General features: G+C 41.0%; 1 pseudogene across 2 annotated transcripts in view, besides 1 other annotated feature; it reads right to left on the reverse strand.

Moving 5' to 3' along the window:
• Nucleotides 1-50: an enhancer, noted in NCBI's record as "active region_25402". NCBI's record gives its function as "activates an Ori minimal core promoter by ATAC-STARR-seq in GM12878 lymphoblastoid cells {active_cell/tissue: GM12878}" and the evidence as "EXISTENCE:reporter gene assay evidence [ECO:0000049][PMID:35858748]".
• The window catches only part of LPAL2 (lipoprotein(a) like 2 (pseudogene)), a 44,570-nt pseudogene continuing 25,082 nt past the window's right edge, over nt 3,618-23,105 (reverse strand). Inside the window, exons 5-10 of one of the 2 annotated variants that reach the window (NR_028093.1) lie at nt 22,878-23,037; nt 21,127-21,308; nt 19,751-19,882; nt 15,571-15,751; nt 14,192-14,351; nt 3,618-4,080 (exon numbers count right to left, since the gene is read on the reverse strand). The product of NR_028093.1 is annotated as a lipoprotein(a) like 2 (pseudogene), transcript variant 2 (transcript). Of the gene's footprint in view, nt 4,081-4,246; nt 4,783-14,191; nt 14,352-15,570; nt 15,752-19,750; nt 19,883-21,126; nt 21,309-22,877; nt 23,038-23,105 lie in introns of those variants that run through there. The other variant, NR_028092.1, reaches the window with a different exon arrangement.

Raw genomic sequence — 23,105 nt, forward strand, 5'->3', positions numbered from 1 at the left:
GGTCTGAGGCAAGAAAGTCAGTGTGGGCTCAACTTCAAGGCAGCCTGTCAAGGATAGAGAGCCCAGGCAGTGAGAGGCAGTGGCATGTACCAGACGGGGCCAGAAGTGGAGAACTGGAACTGACCCCATCGAGGGACTTTCAGGTAGAGGAGCCACCAAGATGCTTCTGCAGAACAAACAAAAACACCCACTCAAGGAAAAGGTCAGCTATCAACTCACACTAAATCCAGAGACCACAATGCCACAATACAATAATATTGGCCAAGTAGAATCTTTACTATCACCCTAACCTCTCATTCTTCCCTCTTGCTCTCCCCAGGAGTGTCCCAAATGCGAAGCTGGGCAGTGTGGCTCCCATAATCTTCATCACTGCCCTGTACCGCCTCCCCAGGAAATCTTGGAATGGTGGTCTTCAGTGGACTTGGAGGCCAAGCTGCTTCCCCCAGCTCAAGGTTCTTCCACATGGCAGACCCAACCACAAGCAACCAAATTATACAAATGAAAAGTCCAGGACAGCTTTCTGTAACTAGGACAGACAAGTTGATTGGTCAGCAGAAAGTAAAATAGGGGACAAGTCCAAGTGGCTTTTTGTTTTTTCAGAAATACCCATGGATTTGTTATCCCAGTTGTTTAAGATCTAATGTCAACTCCACTTACCCTGATCCAAGCCTCATACTCCCAACAAGAGTCTTGGAGCAATGAAGAGGGAACCCAACAAACAGTCTCTAAGCAATGATGCTAATGTGAATCGTGAGGAATAATCTTAGGAGAAAGGCCATTTGGGGCTAAAGAGCTGCACTACCCTTCACTGAATTCCTAGGATGGCCATCTGTAGGTTTACAATGTGCACCACATGCTTAGCTGTGCCCTGCTGTTCGTATATTTTTCATACTTCTCAGCTGCAGAAGAGAAAGGTTTTTTATCCGAATGACTGTAAATTTCTTTTTCATGCATCCCATGCTAGACACTGAAGTGCTCAGTGGGACCACCCTGGGGCTGATTAGATCACCTCTAAGTGTGCTCTTTGGGAATTTTACATTTATTTTATTTATGTGTGTGTGGTGGGAGGGGCGGGTGTTTCCCTAACAAATGGGGCCAATTGTAGGGCAGGTTCAAGATGCCCATGACGAAGGGCAGGCTCTGGTGGAGAGGGCAGCCATCTCCTCCCCAGAAGCACTCAGCTCAAAAGCCATTTTCTGGTTTTTTTTTTTTTTTTTTTTTTTGCAAATCCATATGAAGGAAGCAGTTTCCTTACCAAAACAGAAGGCAACTTACCACAGAGAGGGATATCACAGTAGTCAAAAAGTTTTCTTGGATTCACTCTGTAGCACCAGGGACCATTGATGTCACCATCAGGGTTACGGCAGTACTGAAAACAAGCAGGCATGTAAGCTCCAGCTCACGTGGGGCAAGAGAGGGAGAAGGTGTTCCAAGGCACACATGTTTCACATCTATTCTTAGAGACATAAAGGAGTGTTTCTTCTTCCTTTCTTTCTATTATTATTAAGATATTTTTCGCAAACTTATTTTTTGTATGCTCTAAAGCCATCAGTCATGTGTTCCAGTTCAAAAGAAGCTATGAGGCCACACCCTGACCAAAGGGGTGGTGACCCTGAAGGGTCTTTGGAGAATGGGCCTCTTCTCCAGAAACCCGACCCAGTGGAGGTCTTAGAGCCAGAGCCCCAGAGAACAGTGGAACATCATTGATGAGCTTTGTCCCTTGGGGGCTCAGGGCTCTTCTACCTGATAAAGCCTGTTAGCTGTTGAGTCAGAAACACTTACTTCCATGCATCATGCACCCTCCACGGGCGAGACACACAAAGGCAGTGTCATCCTTCCCTTCCTGTGATACTGAGATAGAATAAGAAATGTATATTGGGTCTCTGCCCCCCAGTTCCTAACAGAGCTCCTAAATCCCTTGGAGTTTCCTGGGTGAAGGGAGCTGCAATGAAGCAACTCTTGGTGGGTTCCTGGATAGCCTCCGGGGCTGGTTGCCAAGGGAACCAACCATGTGATTTGAGTGTTGGAACCAGTCAGCCCCACCCTCCAACCTCCAGGGAGGGAAGAGGGGCTGAAGTTGAGCTGATCACCGATGGCCAATGATGTAATTAACTGTGCCTCTGTAATGAAGCCTCCACAAAAACCCAACAAGACTGCACTTGGAGAGCTTCTGGGTTGCTGAACCCTTGGGGTACCTGGGGGTGGTGCACTAGAGAGGGCACAGAAGCTCTGAGCTCCTTTCCATGTGTCTTGCCCTGTGCATCTCTTCCGTCTAGCTGTTCACCAGGATCCTTTGCAATATCTTTTACAATAAATGGGTAAATAAAAGTAACGTGTTCCCCTGAGTTCTGTGAGCCACTCCAGGAAAGTAATCAAATCCACGGAGGGTCATGTAGAAAAACAGAATTTGTCCAGTACAGGTCACAGCCTGGAACTTGGGATTGGCATCTGCAGTGGGGCGGTCTTGTGGGACTGAACCTTAACTTGTGGGATCTGACACTGTCTCCAGATAGAGTGTCAGGACTGAGTTACATTGTAGGACACCCAGCTGGTATCTGCTGGAGACTCACTTGGGGTATGAGGAGAAATCCCCCCACATCTGGTGTGAGAAGTGTTATGTTACATGGGTGTGAGAGTGGGGGAACACAGACACTTGGGTTTTTCCTATATCTCAGTCTTCCCTATACACAGGCCCCAAAGTAAACCATCCCAGAGAATGCATGAGACTAGGAGAAGTCCCACTGCCCCTTGATGGCCCATCCCAATCTTTTCTAGAAAAATCTGACTCAAGCATCATAAAGGACGTCTTTGACCACTAGAACCTAGAGCAATGGTCCCCAACCTTTTTGGCACCAGAGACTGGTTTCATACAAGGCAATTTTTCTATGGACCCAGGGTGAGGGGGCATTGGTTTCAGGATGATTCAAGAACATTCCATTTACAGTGTACTTTATTTCTATTAAAATTACATTGCAATATATACCGAAATAATTGTGCAACTCACCATAATGTAAAATCAGTGGGAGGCCTGAGCTCATTTTCCTGCAACTAGATGGTCCCATCTTGGGATGATGGGAGACAGTGACAGATCATCAGGCATTAGATTCTCATAAGGAGTGTGCAACCTAGATTCCTGGCATGTGCAGTTCACAATAGGGTTTGTGCTATGGGAATCTAATGCTGCCACTGATCTGACAGTTGGTGGAGCTCAGGTGGCTATGAGAGTGATGGGGAGCAGCAGAAAATACAGATGAAGCTTTGCTCACTTACCTGCTGCTCACCTCCTGCTGTGCAGCCCAGTTCCTAACAGACCACAGACCAGGATCGGGACCAGTACCAGTACCAGTACCAGTACTGGAGTGGGAACCCCTGGCCTAGAGGACAAGGACTAGAAATGAGAAACAGCACCCAACAATGGAAACAGTAAAGAAATGTCACAAAAGAGAAGAGGCCTGAGAATCCCCACACGCGTGGGGCTTTGCTGGCCTGTGCTGCTTACACTTTCCATGCTAAGGCCAATTACGCTTAGCCTCCTGAAGTCTTTCCAGTATTTTCCTCTGCCCATCCTCTGTTTGAAAAGATGTGTCAGCAAAGGGAAAAAGAGTCCAAATCAAAGTGGCTTACATTTTTTTTTATTATACTTTAAGTTTCAGGGTCCATGTGCACAACGTGCAGGTTTGTTACATATGTATACATGTGCCATGTTGGTGTGCTGCACCCATTAACTCGTCATTTAACATTAGGTATATCTCCTAATGCTATCCTCCCCCCTCCCCCCACCCCACAACAGGCCCTGGGTGTGATGTTCCCCTTCCTGTGTCCATGTGTTTTCGTTCAATTCCCACCTGAGTGACAACATGCGGTGTTTGGTTTTTTGTCCTTGCGATAGTTTGCTGAGGATGATGGTTTCCAGCTTCATCCATGTCCCTACATTTTTTTCCAGACCTGCCCGTGGACTTGTCCCTGGAGTGAACCTGCTGTGTCTATGGGGCTCTTGGGCAGTCCATTCTTGGCGTGGCGTCCCAGTAACAGTGGTTGCCTTCTTGCCCCGGTATCCTTTCCCATTCCCAAACATAGAGTCTGTAGAAAAAAAAAACGAAAACAAAAACAAAAAGCAGATGATATGCACAGCCACATAGACCCAGGACAATATGGAATCAATGCAGTCATGTCAGGTTTCTCTAGGACGACGGAATCAGGGGCCACATTAGTCAGAAGCCACTGCTGAAGACTGCCATGAACACTATTTTAAGAAATTACTGGAAATGTTTATTGGCTTGGAAAGAATCACATAGTTGACAGCATGTTAGAATAGGAATTTGACTGGGACACTGAAATAACCTATTTTAGAACAAGGTGAGTGGTTAAGTTGAGCACCCTGGAGGTTTTGCGCCAGTCCTAAAGTCACTACACTCGCAAGTTGTGCCAAAAATCACAGCTCTGGCTTTCCCAGGGACGGCATTGAGGCTTCCTTGGTCATGGCAGACCCTCAACCAACACTCGAGCTCCCGTGCAGCACTAAAGGCTTCTGCATCAGTGTGGTTTTTCATGTCTTTTCATCCCGTTGTCCAAGCACATAGATGTCTGGATACAGACTTTTTACTTGTTCGGAAGGAGCCTCTAGGCTTGGAACCTGGATAACAGTCGGAGGAGCGACCACAGTCCCTTCTGTCTGAGCATCGCGTCAGGTTGCAGTACTCCCACCTGACGCTGGGGTCTGTGGTAAAACACCAAGGGCCTGTATCGGCATCTGGATTCCTGCAGTAGTTCATTGTCAGGCCACTGGAAATTCCAAAGCAATACAGGTTACAGGAGGCGGAAGAATATTCAGGGGCACCCAGCACCCTCTACATTTTGTTCTAACAAAGCCTTAACAAGTGACTTTGAAATATTCCCATTAAGGGTACCATACAATTACTACAACAAAAAAGGTCCTCAATTTCTTTTCTTTTTTTAATTTTTTTTAATTTTTTTTTTTTTTTTTTTTTTGAGACAGAGTTTTGCTCTGGTTGTCCAGGCTGGAGTGCAATGGCACGATCTCGGCTCACTGCAACCTCCGCCTCCTGGGTTCAAGTGATTCTCCTGCCTCAGCCTCCCAAGTAGCTGGGATTACAGGCATGCACCACCATGCCTGGCTAATTTTATATTTTCAGTAGAGACGGGGTTTCTCCATGTTGGTCAGCCTGTTCTCGAACTACCAACCTCAGGTGATCGCTTGCCTCGGCCTCCCAAAATGCTGGGATTACAGGCGTGAGCCACTGCTCCCGGCTGGGTCCTCAATTTCTAACCCACTGCATACCCTTAAAAGATAGATTCTAATTTTTATTTTAAAATATCAAAAGTAGTATATGCTTGTATTAGTCCGCTCTCACATTGCTATGAGGAAATACCCGAGACAGACTGGGTAACTTACAAAGAAAAATGTTTTAATTGACTCACAGTTCCACATTGCTGGGGTGGCCTCTGGAAATTTACAATCATGGCAGAAGGCAAGGGAAAAGCAGGCACCTTCTTCACAGGCGGCAGGACAGAGTAAGTGGAAGCAGGGGAAATGCCAGACACTTACAAAACCATCAGACCTCAGGAGACTCTCTCACTGTCATGAGAACAGCCTGGGAGAAACTGCCCCCATGATCCAGTTACCTCCACCTGGTCCTGCCCTTGACACATGGGGATTATCAGGATTATAGAGATTACAAGTCAAGATGAGATTTTGGGTGGGGACATAGCCAAACCCTATCAATGCTCCATATAAAAACTGAGATCATATATAAATGTGCTTAAGAAAGGACCAGAATACCCTCCTTCTACCTTCTGCCAAACACATACCTCTGGAGGAACCGGTATAGATTTTGAAGTGTGTCTTATAGATTTTTTATGCACATACAAATACACCTATGTCTCTCTAGCTCTCTGTATCTCTCTCTATAGGATTGTATATTAATATGTGAGTTGGAACTAACATATATTTCTCCAAGGAGGAAATGCCATCCAAGATGATATCATTCCCAGGCCAGCCCCCTTACTCTCTGTACTCGTTGTGTAGCTAAAAGGCTCTGCATTTACAATGAAAAACAACCATGAAAATAGTATTACTGTCAATACCATTTCAGGTGGGTCAAGTGGGTTTGAGTCTACAAGACTTATAAAAGCTGAACTGGAAGACTAGCTCCCAGGCAGGATGCTGTTTCTCTAGGATGGGTTCCTGGGCAGGACCTCCTCTCTTGCTCTCAGTCCATCCTCTGCTGGCTGCAGCCACTCCGGGACTGAGGGAATGGGGGATGAGATGAAGGAACAGTGGGACCCAAGGCATAAAGGGAGATGGCTGGCTAGACTATGGGATCTGAAGAGGTCAATTGACTATGGAGGAGGCAGAAAAAAAATTGAATAAGAGGCACAGCAGGTGAGGACCCCAGGGTTGGGGGCATCTTGGAGAATGTGCTCCCCTTCGTTCCTCCCAGGAATGTTGCTTCAACCTCTCAGAATCCTCACATTCATGGCCTGTGGCTGTCTGAGAAAACTTGAAATGTATTATGTACCATGGGAATGCAACACTATCTCTGTAGAGACTCTACACATGTGACCCAGTCTCAAGCCCAGACTCCCAGCTACAGGAGGCTGGTTCTCCAAGCAACTGGATATGTTAGCAAGTGTGGTATTCGAAGGAGATTTTTTTATCTATTTTCAACTGAGGTACACTTTCATGTATAGTCAAATGCACAGATCTTAGATGTAGTTTGATGAATTTTGATGAACATGTACACTTGTGTAACTCGCAAGTTACGATCGTGACACAGAACATTTACATCACCCCAGAAACAACTTTTGTTTTACGGCAAAATCAATCTCTGCTAATTTCTTCCCATGGCCAGAGGCAAATGATACTGGTTTCCTTCAAGAGAAATTATTTTTGCCTTTCTGGAACCTTATATCAATGGACTCATATATAATGTTCATTTGTGTTATCTGACATCTTTCCTTAATGTAATATTTTTGAGCTTCATCCATGCTATTTGAGAGTATCATTAATGTGCTCCCTTTTATTGCTGAATAGTATGCCATTGTATGAATAGATCGCAAATTATTTATTCATTTTCTTATTGATTGACACTGTAGTTGCCTACAGTTTGGGGTATAAAAAATAAAGCTGCTATGAATATTCTTGTAGATCTCTTTGTGGAATTATGTTTTCATTTCTGTTGGGTAAATATTCAGGAATAGAATTGCAGATTTGTAGAGTAGATGTGTCTTTATTGAACTTTTGGAGAAATCATCAGACTGATTTCCAAAGTGGTTTTATCATTTTGCACTTCCACCAACATACGAGAGAGTTGCATATCCTTGCTCTACATCAGTGACATCAGTTACTGTGGTGTCTTCTTAATAATATCCATGTCCACTGGGTGTTTGGTGACATCTCATGATGGTTATAATTCTTTATTTTTCATGGCTGAGATATTGGACATTTTTTCAAGTGCTTATTGGTTTTGTGTGTATCCATCCCTGAGAAATGCCTATTCAATCTGTTGCCTTTTTTGATTAAGTTGTTTGTCCCCTGTTTAGCAAGTGGGAGAAATGTTTCTATACTCTGGACACAAGCCATTTGTCAGATAGATAGAAAGAGAGCATTTTTCTTCTCATGTGTTATTTGCTTATTTATTTTCTTAAAAATGACTTTTGGTGGGCATGAGTTTTCATTTTATGAAAGCCCACATCATAATTTGTTTTCTTTTATAGTTAGTGTTAATGACTCCTCTGTCAAAAAAAATTGCCTTCTCCAAGGTTGTGAAGATTTTATATTTTCTCTTGGAACTTTCATATTTCAGTTTCAGTTTTAGCTCTGACACTTAGGTGGAAGAGATATCTCAAATTAATTTGAGATGAAAAGTAAAAGTCAAGGTCTGTTTTTGTTTTCTATCATGGATATCCAAATGGTTCAGAATGATTTTTGTAAAAGATTATTGTCTCCATTTAATTGCTTTGTCATCTATATAGAAAATCAATTGACCATATGTATGTGGGTCTGGTGCTGGACCATCCCTTTTTAGTTTTGCATACTTTTTTGCCAATAACGCATATCTTTTTATTTTTTGAGATAGGGTATCATTCTGTCATCCAGGCTATAATGTAGTGGCATGATCAAGGTTCACTCATGCCTAGACCTCCTGGGTCAAGTGATCCTCTCCCCTCAGTGTCCTGAGTGGCTGGAACTACAGGTGTGACTCATCACACCCATCTAATGGTTCATTTTTTTTTGTGGAGAGAGGGTCTCGCTCTGTTGCTGAGGCTGGTCTTGAACACCTGGGCTCAAGCCATCCTCCTGCCTCAGCCTCCCAAAGTGTTGGGGTTACAAGCATGAGCCAAGGGTCCTGGCCAATACCACGTCTTGATTCTTGTACCTTTATAAGTCTTTATATTAAGGTATGTAAGTCCTCCACATTTTTTCCAAAAAAGGACTGCAGCAATAGTGTTTGGGTGAGAGTTTAATCCAAAGATCAATTTGATGAGAAGTGATATTGAGCCTTTCAATCTATAAGCATGGTGTATCTTTATTTAGATCTTTTAATTCTTTCCTTGACAACGTTTTCTAGTGCAAGCTGTATAGTCCTTGTGCATAGTTTGTTAAATTTATCATTAAATATTTTTTGGTTTTGATAACATTGTCAGTGATATTGCTTTAAAACATTTATTTTTCCAAATGATCATAGAAAGTATACAGAATACCAATTAACTGTTATACACAGAGCATGTGTATATTTTTTAGGACTGTCTGCATCCATTAATCAGGTTTTCCTTCTGGTTTTTCATTCTTTCTTTTTGTTTTCATTTTTGGGTCTTGGTGCAAAGGCTGTGACCATTGTAGTGAAGTGGTGATGAGAAGTATTGAGAGCAAACATCTTTCTTATTCCCAATCTTAAAAAACAATAATATTTCACCATTAACATGATGTTTGATGGAGGTTTTACACAGATGCCCTTTATGAGGTTAAAGGAGTACCATTCTGTTTCTAGTTTGCTGAGACATTTTATTATGAAAGAGTGTTGAATTTTCTCATATTTCCTTCTGCATCTATGGATATCATGTGATTTATCACTTTTATTCTGTTATTATGTTGGATTACATTGTTTGTTTTGCAAATGTTAAATCAACCTTGCATTCTCAAAGGGAAGCTCCAGTTTTTTTGTGATATTCATCACATTAATGATAAAAATACATTTTAATATTGCTGGATTTAATATCCCAATATTTTATTAAGTCTTTTTGTGTTTATTCACTATAGACAGTATTCTGCAGTTTTTTTTTCAATATCCTGTGTACTTTTTTAACTGGGTTTTTTTGTTCTCACAAACTGAGTTAAGAAGTATTCCCTTCATCTCTATTTTCTGTAACATACTGTGAAAAATTGGAATTATTTCTTCCATAAATAACAAAATTTCTAATGAAGCCATCTGGGCCTAGAGATTTCTCTGTGGAAGTGTTTTGATTTTTTAAAATATGTATTATTAAGGAATATAAACATACGTAGTCTTGAATAGGTATCACACTGTTTAGCAATTCAACTTATTCAGTGTCTGACCTGCATATTTGTTTTCTTCCTAAGGAATCAGTCCACATTATCTAAGGTACTGGATTTGTTAACATAAGTTGTTCTGAGTATTTTCTTATTATCTTTAATACCTGTAGCATTCTGTAGTGATAACTCCTCTTCTCTTTTATTCCTGATGGTGGTGGTTGTTCTCCCTTCTTTGTTTGTCATCAGTTTAGCCAGAGGTTTATCAATCGTAAGGATATTTTCAAGGAACCAACTTTCTGTTGCACAGATTTACTCAACTGTTTATTATTTTTACATTGAATTTCATTTTTTTAATCATTTCCTTTCTTTCACTTACCTTGGGTCTTATTTGCTTTTTATATATTGCTAGATCCAATACCTCAATATTTTATTAAGTATTTTTGTGTTTATGTTTACTATAGACAGTATTCTTCTCTAGATTTTTAAATTGCTTTCTTAGATGAACAATTCCCAATATTTTTATTTTTAGGATCACTCTGCATTCTTAAAAAGTATTGGGGATCCCAAAGAGCTTTAGTTTTTGTAATATATACAAATATGCAAATATATTGTTGCAATCGAAACCGAAACAGAGAATTTTTTGAACCATAATATAGACAATCATACATTTTCCTAGCCATTAGAGAGATGATTCCACTACACATTATGTAGCTGCTGGAAAGTTTCACTGTACCTTTGTCAGAAAATGAAAGTGAAAAGGGCCAATAAAAAATGTTTCTTAATTAAAAATATTTTATCTCCCTAGATTCTCCGAGGGGATCTCATGAGTCCCCAAGTTTCTGCTTTGAGAATTGCTATCTCAAATCATTGATTTTTAAATGTTTCTATTGTCTACTAAGAGCATTTAAAGTTGTAAATGTATAAAGACATTAACTGTTTCCCACAAGTTTGAGTATACTGAATTATTATTATTATTATTCAGGTCAAAACTTTTCCAAGTTCCTTGGAGATTTCTTCTTTGACTCATGGAACATTTAGAAATGTGTTGTTTTATTACCAAATATTCAGCAATTTCCCAATGTTTTGGTTATTTATATCTTATTTCTTTCTGTTGTGTTCAGAAAACATACTATGTATCAATGTAATTCTTGAAAATTTATTGAAACTTTTGTAAGGCCACATATATGGTATACCTTGATGCATGTTCCATGCACATTTGAATGTGTATTTTGTAGTTTGGCATAGTATTAAATAGGTTGATGTTTTACTTTAAATCTTATATATTTTTTCTGATTTTGTATGAATGTGTTCTTTTACATTTTGTTTTTGGAAGATTTATAACAATAGTAAGAGAAAAATGAAGAAATTTCCATCTCTAATTGTGGACTTATCTATTTCTCTCTTTAGTTCTGTCAAGAACTAAGTTCTAAAGTTTTGCTTCATATTTCACAATTGCTGTTATTAGGTGCAACACATTGAGCATTGTTATGTCTTCGTGACTGGACCCTTTTTCTTATGAAGTGTCCTTTTTGTTTTTGTATTATTTCTTGTCCTGAAATCAACTTTGTCTGTTATAAATATTACCACTCCAGTTTATTTATGATTCAGGTTTTCATGGTATATATCATTTTTCATATTTTGCTGTTTGTAGGTCTTTACACTGAAAGGGCATTTATTATAAAAAGAACACAATTAGGCTGCAGTTTTTATTCAATTTACAGTCTCTGCCTTTTATTTGTAGTGTTTAATCATTTTATATTTAATATACTCATAAGGTGGTCATAAGGTGGTTCAGTTTATATCTACCACAATGCCATGAATTTTCTGTGTACACCATATCATTTTTATCCTTTATTCCTCCTTTGCTTCCTTCTTTTGGACAAGTGAACTATTCCTCTTATTATCCATTCCTCTCAGTTTAAGTTTTTGTGGTTTTCCTAGGAGTTATGATATCTCACCTTAAACTATCACATTCAACCATGTATTAATATTATATAACTTCATGGGTAATGCAAAAAGCTTATAACAGTATATTTCCATTTATCTTCTACATTATTTATGCCACTTTTTTAAAATAAATTTTACTTTTACATATGTTACAATATATTCTTATTAATTCACATCACAAATTGTCCTTTAAATTAAAAAAAAGTATTTTATATTGACATTGACATTTGCCATTTCCAGGGCTGTTCATTGCTTAGTATGGATTAAAGTTTCCATCTGGTATTATTTTTCTTCTACCTAATTGGCTTTCTTTAACATCTTTTATTACAGAAGCCTGCTGTGGAAACATTCTTTTGGTTTTTGGTTGTTTCCTCTGGAGGTGGCAGAATACGTATTTACATCACATTTATTTTCAAGGTTTTTTTTTTTTTCCTGGACATGTTGTCCTAGGTTGATCTGATTTTTTTTCTTTCTAATCACTTTAAAGATGTTATTTCATTGTTTCTGAGAAGAAGGCATAAGTCATTTGCATCACTGTTCCTCTATGTAAATGATCTTTTTTCCCCTCTAGCTTATAATAAGATTACCCTGGTTATCTTTGATGTTGGACAATTTAACCATGATATACCCAAGTAAATCATAAATTTTTGCTTTTAAGAATTCTATTTCTGATTAGTTGAGCTTCTTAACTGTGAGTATATAATTTTCTTCATATTTGTAAAGTCTTCAGCCGTCATTGCTTTCATTATTTTTTTCTGTCCCAATATCTCTTTCCTGTTCTTCTGTGACTGTTTGTATGACTTTCATTGCATTATTTTCTAGTTCACTTTTTCTTCTGCAATGTATAAACTCAGAGTAAGACCACCCAGTGAATTTTTTATTAAGGACGTACTTTTTTGTAGTTCTTTACTTTCCATTTGGTTGTTTTATATGTTGCTTTTTTCTTGGTATTCTGCACTTGTTTCTCTTATGTCCATGTTTTCTTTAAATCTTTGAACACAATTATCATATATACACAGTTTGAATTTCTTTACCAATTCCATTGTCTTTATTATTTGTTGGTCTATTTGTATTGACTGATTTTTCTCCCAGTTATGGTTGCTTTTTTTGCCTATTAAATTTTAAAATTTATGTCACTCATTGTGAATGTCACATTACGGAGTACCATGATCCAGTTATTTACCTCCAGTGATGGTTGAGTTTCCTTCTGTCAGGCAGTTAATTTACTTGGAGATTATTTGGATCCTTTTAGACTTGGTTTTTAAGTTTTGCTAAGGTATTTCTGGAGTAGCCTTTATTCTAAGAAGGCATAAATCCTGCTCCTAAAGTATGACTTTCCTGGGGTCTCTACTGAATGCCCGAGATGTTCAATGAGGTGTCTCTCCTTAGGCTGATCAGAACCCCAGTATCCCCCAGTGCTACGTGAGCTCTGGCGTCACCATTGAGCTCACTGTTTCCCTGAATTTGTCCTTTCCCCAGTAGTGGTTCTCTGTCCCACTTTGTAGAATTTCTCCCTGTGCATATGCAGTTTATATTAGACTTCCATGCATATTCCTTCAGCTCCTTTTCACCACAAATTCTTTCTCATTATTACCTAGCATAGAAAATACACATTTTCTTAGCTATCCCAAACTCCAGTCTCTTTCCTCAGTTCAGCAAGACTGCTGTGGTTGGCTTTGGCTCCAATTCCTTGCCCTTCAGTCCAGGAAGGTTCTCCAGGAAGAAAGTCATAATAGTTATGGAGTTGCGCTCATTCATTTCCTTTTCTAAATTATCTCAGTCCTGTACTGTCTCTTGTCCAACATGTGGAAAGTTTTTTTGTATATCTTTTGTAGTCTTTTATGGCAGAAAGCCAGTTTTTGTCAGACCAGGTTTTTTGTCCATGTACCGGCCCGTTTTAATCTGTACATCTGTTTACTTCCTGACTGACTCTCATCTACGTTCTTGCTTTTGCTCTTCCTGTCCTGGCAACCCATATCCCTTCAGAAAACTGGAGCTTAGAACCCAGTGTGTTCACACAGGTGTATATATATAACTATATATAACTATATATATATATACACACACACACATAGTTATATTATGTGTGTGTGTGTGTGTGTGTGTGTCCTGCAGATTGTATAGCTATATAGCCTGCAGCTGTGCAGACTATAGGGTGATTGGTCATCAGTCAGGGACAGACATGAAAACCTTGCACATTTCCCTAGACCATATATGAATACTTGCCTGTATGAACACATATATGAATACCAACCTATATGAGCACATATATATGAATACTAGTCTGTATGAACACACCTGGTTCTATATATATGCACACACATGTGAATTATTTACTTGTGACCCATGACAAAAATGGCAAACCCAACCTTCACTTCAGGGAAGGGAGGTTAGAATGATAGAATTGCATGGGTGAAAGACTGCATTGATCTTTTATGAGCCTTGTAGAATGGCACTCTATTTGATCGTTTGTTCTCCTGAGCTTTATATTAAAAAGACCTCATCAGCTCCATGTAGCCTTCTGCTTCCATCAGACTATTAGAAAAGATAGCAAGCCTAAAATACCTATTCTCTCAGACTCTTTGATCAAAAGCAAAGTTGTTTGGACATTTTGACACACCTTCTGGGTCTAAGGGAAATTTGTCCTAACAAGTTAGCTTGAAGCAAGGCTCTTCTAGGAGGAACTTAAGTTGGCTGTTGCTCCTCTTACAAGTAACATCAAAGACATACTCATTTGGGTAGTTTTCTGGGGTCCTCTGATGCCGGTGTGGTGTCATGGATGACCAAGATTGACATGTCCTTCCTGTGACAGTGGTGGAGAATGTGCCTTGATAACTCTGTCCATTACCATGGTAGCACTGCCGGACCACAGGGGTTTGCTCAGTTGGTGCTGAAAATAGTCAAAATCAAGCTCAGTAATTACTAGTACGCAGAAACATGTGAAGCAATTTATGACACAAACAGGACAGTAGTTTCAGAATTATGACTGTTCTCTTCAGAATACTCGCAAGCAGAAGGACATGCTGAAGCAAAAACAATAGATTAATAGCATTCTAATATTTTAATAAGTTCTTAGAAATGTTATATTCAAAATCTGGTGGGGAAAGGACCTATCAGTGTTCTTACAATTGCAACTAAGACTCATGTGCAAGCTCTTTTGTGTGGCTCTCTACTGATTGTTCATGAGAACAACAAGGCAGGAAACCAGACAGTGATGGATTAGGCCATGCAGGCTGTTGGGTGATTGGCTGTCAGTGGGGGACAGACAGGAAAACCTTGCACATTTCCCTAGACCATTGCTCCTGAAAAGCCAAAGCCTTAAGCTTCTGGTGGACGGGGCAGTTCATGGTCCTGCATCTAGTACTTGCAGGCAAAGACACATTGCTTCTTAGAGAAGGATGGAGACTAAAATCTTATTCCCTTACAGGAGAGACAGGGAATCCTCTTGTTCCAGCACCCTGCATTGCAACAAAGCAGAAGTCTACTACCTTTCCTCTCAACACACACCAAAGATGCACGTTCCACGAGAAGAAGGCGCAAGAACACCAAGAAATTCCTGCCTTCCAAGCATAGGTGTGCAGAGCCTACCTAAGACTAAGATAAGCCAGAGAAATAATGCATTCTGTGGTTATGTAGTGTCAAATAGCCCCAGGATTAGATGGAATAAATGTCATCATATTAGGTTTCTCCAGGATGACAAACTCAGCGGCCACATACCTCAGCAACCACAATGCAATGATTGCAATGAACACTGCCCATTTTACGAAAGGCCTGGAAACACTCACTGGTGTGAAAATTGGCACAAATTTGGCCGGACGTTAGAACTGGAATTTTGTCTAGGACACCAAGATAACTCACTTAACAAGATGAGTGGTAAGTCAAGCGCCCTGGAGGGTTGCACCCTTCCTAAAGACACCATTGACTAGCATTGCACCAAAAATTACACCTCTTGCTAGAGCAGAGAGGGTGCTGAGGCTTCCTTATGCACGGCATAACCTCAACCAACCATCAAGTTTCTCAGTAGCATGGAAGGCTTCTGCATCTGTCAGATTTTAAATCTTTTCATCCCAATGTTCAAATGTGTAGATGTCTGGCCACAGACTTCTTACCTGCTTCAGAATGAGCCTCCATGCTTGGAACTGGAACAACAGTGGGAGTCTCTAGGACACTGATTCTGTTTCTGAGCATTGTGTCAGGTTGCAGTACTCCCACCTCACACACGGATCAGTTGTGTAACACCAGGGTTGTTTCCCAGAATCTGGATTCCTGCAGTAGTTCCTGGTCAGGCCACTGCAAATTCCAGAACAATACAGGTTACAAGAGATGGTAAAAAATTCAGGGGCACCCAGCACTGTCTAAATTTTGTTACAATAAAGTGTTAAAAAGTGACATTTGAATATTCCCATTTTAGGTAAAATGATATTCCCAAGGCAAAAATGGTCCTCAAGTTCTAAAGAAGAGTGTAAATTTCCAAGATAGATTATAATGTATATTTTAAAAAATCAAAAATAGTCTATGCTCCATTTAAAAACTGAGATCATGCATAAACGTACACAAGAAAAAAATTAGAGCTGGGTGCGATGGCTCACACCTGTAATCCCAGCACTTTGGGAGGCTGAGGCAGGCAGATCACCTGAGGTCGGGAGTTCGAGACCAACCTGACCAATACGGAGAAGCCCTGTCTCTAGTAAAAATACAAAATAAGCTGGGAGTGGTGGTGGGTGCCTGTATTTCCAGCTACTTGGGAGGCTGAGGCAGGAGAATCCCTTGAGCCCAGGAGGCAGAGATTGCAGTGAGCCGAGATCGCACCATTGCACTCCAGCCTGGGCAACACAAGCAAAACTCCATCTCAAAAAAAAAAAAAAAAGGGAAAAAGATCAGAATATGTTTCTCCTTCTGCCAACTGCATTCCTCCAGAAAACTGATGTGGATTTTTTAAGTGTGCATCTTAGATTTTATTAATGCACATAAAAATATATAATATATTGATATCTGTCTACTTCTTTATATCCTTCTTTAGGACTCTACAGTAACATGTAAATTGGAATCAAAATATATTTCTTCAGGGAAGAAATGGCATCCAACATGACACCATTCCCAGGCCAGCCCCCTTACTCTATGTATTCGCAGAGGAGTCAGAAAACAATGGAGTAAGAGGCAAAGGTGGTGAGTAACCCGCGATGGGTGTATCTTGGAGCATTTGCTCCCCCTTATGAATCCCAGGAACATTGCTCCAACCTCTCAGTATTCTCGCATTCATGACCTGTGGCTGTCTGTGAAAACGGGAAATGTATTATGTGCCATGGGGATCCAACACTCTCTCTCAAGAGACTACACATGTGACCTAGTCTCAAGCACAGACCCTCCATTCAAGAAGCTTGTTCTCTGAGCATTTGGATGTGCTCAGAGCCGAGCAGTTGACTTATTTTTCTTCCTTGGCTGCCTTCTTTTTGACATATGGAATATTCTTGTCATAGAATATACCTCAGTGTTCACAATTTTGTGATTACTCTAGAATTTGCAATATCTCTTTGAACCCAAATATTTCAAACTTTTATTATGTACCATCATAGGTAAGGCAAGAAACTTACAATGGTATAATTCTTTATTCCCTACACGATTTATGCTACATTTTCAAATTTTTACTTCAAATATGCTAAAATAATACATATTGCTGTCATTTTGCTTCAAGCAGTCAAATATAATTTAAGGCAATTACGAAATTTGATCAAGAAAATATTTTTGCATTTACATCTACATTTGCCATTTGCTGGGTTCTTCAATACGTGGGATGCAGAAAGTTCCCACCTTGTACTATTCTTCTTGTACGTAATTCCCTTTGGGCCACATCTTTTGTGACATAAGCCTGCTGATTCCAAATTCTCATAGCTTTCGGATTTCTTGTTTGGGGGGTGCACAAAATGCAATTATACAACATTGATGATTTTCAAGGCAGTGTATAGCTGGATGTAGCATTCTCGGTTGATCTCTTCTTTTCCCTGTTTATCATTTTAATGATATTCCTTTGCCTGCAGTTTGCCATGTTTCTGATGAGAACACATTAGCCATTTGTATCACCGTTCCTCTAGCAAGACACAGCTCTTTTTCCTACAGTTTCTCACAAGATATTTCTTGATACTATATCTTTGTCTTCTGAGAGTCAAACTGTGATGTACCAAAGTGCTTCATACAGTTTTCTTTTTGAAAATTCCCTTTCTGATCCACTGAGCCTATTGAATCTGTAATTACTTAACGTTCTTCATATTAGGAAGGTTTTCAGCCATTCTTGCTTCAGGTACTTGTTATTGTTTCAGTATCACCTTCCTCTCCTTCTGTGCCTTGCTTCTCACAGGTAGGAAACCTTTTTATATTTTCCTTTGTGTCTGTGAGGCTTGGTTGATTTCACTTTTCAGGATTTGTGGATGTGAGTGTGTTTGTGTGTGTTTGTAAGCTTGTGCATGTGTGAGTGTCTGTGTGTGTGTGTGTGCATGTGCGCGCGCACGCGTAGCTGTTTCTGTAGTTTCTATAAATTTTCTTTCAGTTAGTTTTTCTTCTGAAACTTCTAACTGGATGAGGAGGCCACCCAGTACTTTTTTGATTTAAGGCATACCTTTCACTAGAGTTCTAATTTGATATTGCTCTTTTATACTGTTACTTTCTCTTGATGTTACATCTGCTAGGTTCCATACTCATATTTTCTGAAATCCTAGAACTCAGTTAACACACTGATAGGTCCAATTTTTATGCCATTCTAATCATTCCTGTCATTTCTGGGCCTATTTGTATTGACTGATTTTTCTCCTGGTCGTGGGTCATAACCAACGCTTTCTATGTTTAGGGAGTTTTTAAATTTAGGACTCACACTGTCGATACCGCATAGCTGAGCCACTTGATTTTGCTGTTTACCTCTAAGGAGGGTTGTGTTTTCCTCTAGCAGGCAGTTAATTGACTTGGAAACCTTTTTGATGCTTAAGAGATTTGCCTTTAGGCTCAGCTAGGTTTTGTCTGGAGCTGCCTTTATTCTAGGAATATATTAATTCTACCCTTAAAGTCTGGCTTTTCTGGGGTCTCTACTGAATGCCCAAGATGTTCAGTGACTTCTCTCTCCTCTGGCTGGTTAGAACTCTAATATCCGCTAGTGCTATGTGAGCACTGTCATCTTTACTGAGCTCACTGTTTCCTTGTAGATGCTGTTTTCTCATAGTTGTCCCCTTGTAGTTGCTCAGTAGATGTCCTTGGCCCCACTCTCCTGTGGAGCCCTTTTCTGTGCACAAGCAGCTTCATGTTTAGCCAATGACTTGAGGAGACTTCTATGCATATTCCCAGAGCTCCTTTCCTCCACACATCCGCTCTCATTCTTAGCAGGCCTAGAAAAATCCTAGCTACCTGAGTAATCCCAAACTCCAGTCTCTCTCCTCCATTCAGCAAGATAGCTACAGTCCACATGTGCTCCATCTCCCTGCTCTTCAGTGCAGGAAGGGTCTCCAAGAAGACAGCCAGGGAGGGCACTTATGGAGTTGATCGCATTGTTCCCCCTCTCACAATTCTCTTGGTCCTCTACCGTCTGTTGTCTAACATGCAGAAACCATTTTTCCATGTCTTTGGTAGCCACTTACAGCAGAGAGGCTGGACACAGGGTGGTCAGACCAGGGCTTCTGACCATCTACCCACCAGGCTTAATTTTCAGCATCTGCCTCTTTGTTGACTCTCATCTGCCTTCTTGCCTTTGCTCTTCCCTTGCTGGCAACCTGTATCTTGTCAGAGCACTGGTGCTCAGGACCAAGTGTGTTTCTACCCATTGGAAAAGACGTAGATACAGAAAGAGAGACATTTGCCTCTCCATAGATATGCAAATATTTTTTTCTCTTGAACCAAGACAGAAAAGGCCAACACAACTTTCACTTCAGGAATTGGAGGTTAGAATGATAGTATTCCAAGGTGGAAAGGCTGCATTGGCCCTCAGTGGGTGGTGTGGAAAGGTACTCTAAGTGTTTGGTCGTTTGTGGTCCTGACTTTTTCCTTAATGTGATCTCCTCGCCTCCAGATATCCTCCTGCTCCATAAAACTAGGAGGAAGGAGAGCCAGCCTAATATTTCTCTTCTCTCAGACTCTTTGCTCCAAGGCAATGTTCCTGAGACATTTTGCTATGCCCTTTGCATCTGACACAAGTTGAGTCTTGAGCAGTCAGCTCGAAACATGACTCTTCTAATAGAAACTTCAGTTGGCCCTTCCTTCTCTTATGGTAAAGAACAAAGACGTATGCATTTGGGTACTTTTCTGGGGTCCTACTGTGCTGATGTGGCGTCATAGATGACCAAGCTTGGCAGGTTCTTCCTGTGACAGTGGTGAAGTATGTGCCTCGATAACTCTGTCCATTACCGTGGTAGCACTGCTGCTCCCAAGGCCTTGGCTCTGTTGGTGCTGAAATTAAAAGAGAAAAAATCAAGCTGAGTATTTCCTAGAACAGAGAAACAGGTGAAGCCATTTATGACACAAACCAGGCAGGAGTTTCTGATATTACGACCCTTCTCTTTTCTCTATTCTTAGGCAGATGGACATGAGAACATAAACAAACAAACACCAAAGCAACAGATTTCTACCATTCTAGAAGTGTAGTACATTCATAGAACTATTTCCTGTAAAAGCTCAGAGAAAAACAGCAGATCAGAATGCTTCTCATAGGAAACTGTGCTCACAGGCAAGCTGGTCTTTAGGGATCTCTACTGAATGTTCACGGGAACCATGGGGCATGAGAGAACAAAGGGCTGTGCATTTGGCGGTGTGGGCTGTAGGTGGTGATTGGCTATCAAGGGTGGAGGTGGGGACAGACATGGAAACATTGCGTATTTCCCTAAAGTGTTGATCACGGGAGCCAAGGCCTTCAGCTTCTGGGCAATCGGGCAGAAAACAGTTCTGCAACTAAGACTGCAGGCAAAAACATTTTGCCTCTTAGGGATGGTTGGAGGCCAAAATCTTATCCCCTTGGAGGAGGGATGGAATCCTCTCGTGTCCCGCATTCTGCATCGTAATAAAGCAGAAGTCTACTAATCTTTCTCTCCAGACCCCTCCCCACTATGCACACACAGGTACAAGTTCCATCAGAAGGAGGTGTCAGAACACTAAGAAATCACTCACTTCAAAGCCTAGGACTGCAGAGCCTGCCTGGGACTGAGGAAGCTCATGTACTGCTCCATAGACCCAGGGCGATATGGAATTAATGCCGCCTGTTAGGTTTCTCGAGATTCACAAGCTAGAGAGCCACATTTCCTGGAATCTGCAGTGCTGAAGATTGCAATGAACGCTGTCTACCTTAAGAAATCCCTGGACAAGTGACTCGCTTCGAAAGAGTCACACATCTGACAGCATGTGACAATAGGAATTTTGGCTAGGACACTGGCCCAACCCCTTTGACAACAAGGTGAGTGGTGAAGTCCACCAACCTGGAGGGTTCGTGCCTATCCTAAAGACACAGCCCACTCACGTTGCACCAAAAATCACTCGTCTGGCTCCCCCCCAGAGTGCCCTGAGGATTCTTCCAACATGACAGACCATCAACCAACATGTGAGCACGTGCGTAGCACTGAAGGCTTCTGCAACAATGGGAGTTTCAAAGGCTTTTCTACCCAGTGTCCAAGTGTGGAGATGTCTGGCCACAGACTTCTTACCTGGTTTGGAAGGATCCTCTAGGCTTGGAACCGGGATAACAGTCAGAGGCACGACTGCAGTCCCTTCTGTGTCTGAGCATCGTGTCAGGTTGCAGTACTCCCATCTGACTTTGGGATCCATCGTGTAACACCAAGGGCCTTCCACAGGATCTGGATTCCTGCAGTAGTTCATGATCAAGTCACTGGAAATTCCAAAAGGATATACGTCACAAGAGGTGGGACAATATGCAGGGGCACCCAGCACCCTCTCCGTTTTGCTGTAACAAGGTCATAACCAGGGCCTTTGAAATATTCCCATTAAAAGTACCATACAATTGCCACAAGCATGAATGGTTCTCAAATTCTCATCCACTCTGCACATTTCCAATAATTAATGGATTTTAACTGTTTTATTTTTGTTGTTTGCAATGCTTCTTGGAAACACTGAAATAGTACATCCATGTGGCCTGGAAGGGATCAGAATATTGTCCTTCCACCTTTGGCCAATACATCTCTCTGGAATAACTGGTATGGATTTTGACGTGTGTATTGTGGAATCATTTATGCACATACAAGAGTATCTCGATCTGTCTAGCTGTCTTTATCTCTCTCTATAGGACTTCATATAGTATTGTGAGAGGTGGAACTAACATAGAGTTCCTCAAAGAAATAATGGTATCCAGGATGATATCAATCCCAGGTCAGCTTTCTAACTCTTTGTGCTCAAAATGTAGCAAAAAGGCTCTATGTTATTATCATGGAAAACCATCATGCAAATAGTGTTACTGTCTGTCGATACCGTATCAGGTGGGTCAGAAAGGTTTGTTTCTGCAAGACTTATTAAAGCTTCCGTGCAAAACTAGCTTCCAGGCAGAATGCAGTATCTCTAGGATGGGTCCCAGTACATGACCTCCTCTCCTGCTCTCAGTCCATCTTCTACTGGCCGCAGCCACTCCGGGACTGAGGGAATGGGGGATGAGTTGAAGGAACAGTGGGTCCCAAGGCATAAACGGAGATGGATGAATAGACTATGAGATCTGAAGAGGTTAGGCAGCTATGGAGAAGTTAGTAGTTGGTCATTTGTGGTCATGACCATTTTTTTCATGTCTTTGGTAGCCACTTATGGCAGAGAGACTTGCCATTGGATGGTGGGACCCCAGCTTCTGTGCATCTATCTAACCCCCTCGCTTACTTTTCAGTCTCTGTCTCTCTCCTGAGTCTCATCTGTCTTTTTGCCTTTGTTCGTCTCTTCTTGGAAACCTGGACCTATTCAGACCACTGGTGCTCAGGACCCAGTGTGTTTCTGCTGATTGAAAGATACATAGATATTTATAGATAGAGATTTACCTCTCCATAGATATGCACATATGCTTTCTTCGAGATCCAAGATAGAAAAGGCCAACACAACCCTCACTTCAGGAAATCAAGGTTAGAATGATAGAATTTTAAGGCAAAAAGGCTGCATTGGCCCTTAGAGTGTGTTGTGGAAAGGAACTCTAAACTTTTGGTAGCTTGTGATCCTATCTTTTTCTTAATGTGATCTTCTCGCCTCCAGATATCCTCCTGCTCTATAAAGCTATAAGGAAGGAGAGTCAGCTTAACATTTCTCTTCTCTCAGACCCTTTGCTCCAAGGCAATATTCCTGAGACATTTTGCTATGCCCTCTGCATCTGAGACAAGTAGAGTCCTGAGCAGTTATCTCAAAGCAGGAGTCTTCTAAAAGAAACTTCAGTTGGCCCTTCCTTCTCTTATGGTAAAGAACAAAGACGTACGCATTTGGGTACTTTTCTGAGGTCCTACTGTGCTGGTGTGGTGTCATAGATGACCAAGCTTGGCAAGTGCTTCCTGTGACGGTGGTGAAGTATGTGCCTCGATAACTCTGTCCATTTCCATGGTAGCACTCCTACATTGAAGGCCTTGGATCAATCAGTGCTGAATTAAAACAGAAAAATTCAAGGTGAGTATTTCCTAGGACAGGGAAACAGATGAAGCTATCAATG

This window comes from Homo sapiens, chromosome 6 (genome assembly GCF_000001405.40).
Source record: "Homo sapiens chromosome 6, GRCh38.p14 Primary Assembly".
In the NCBI taxonomy this organism is placed as follows: Eukaryota; Metazoa; Chordata; class Mammalia; order Primates; family Hominidae; genus Homo; species Homo sapiens.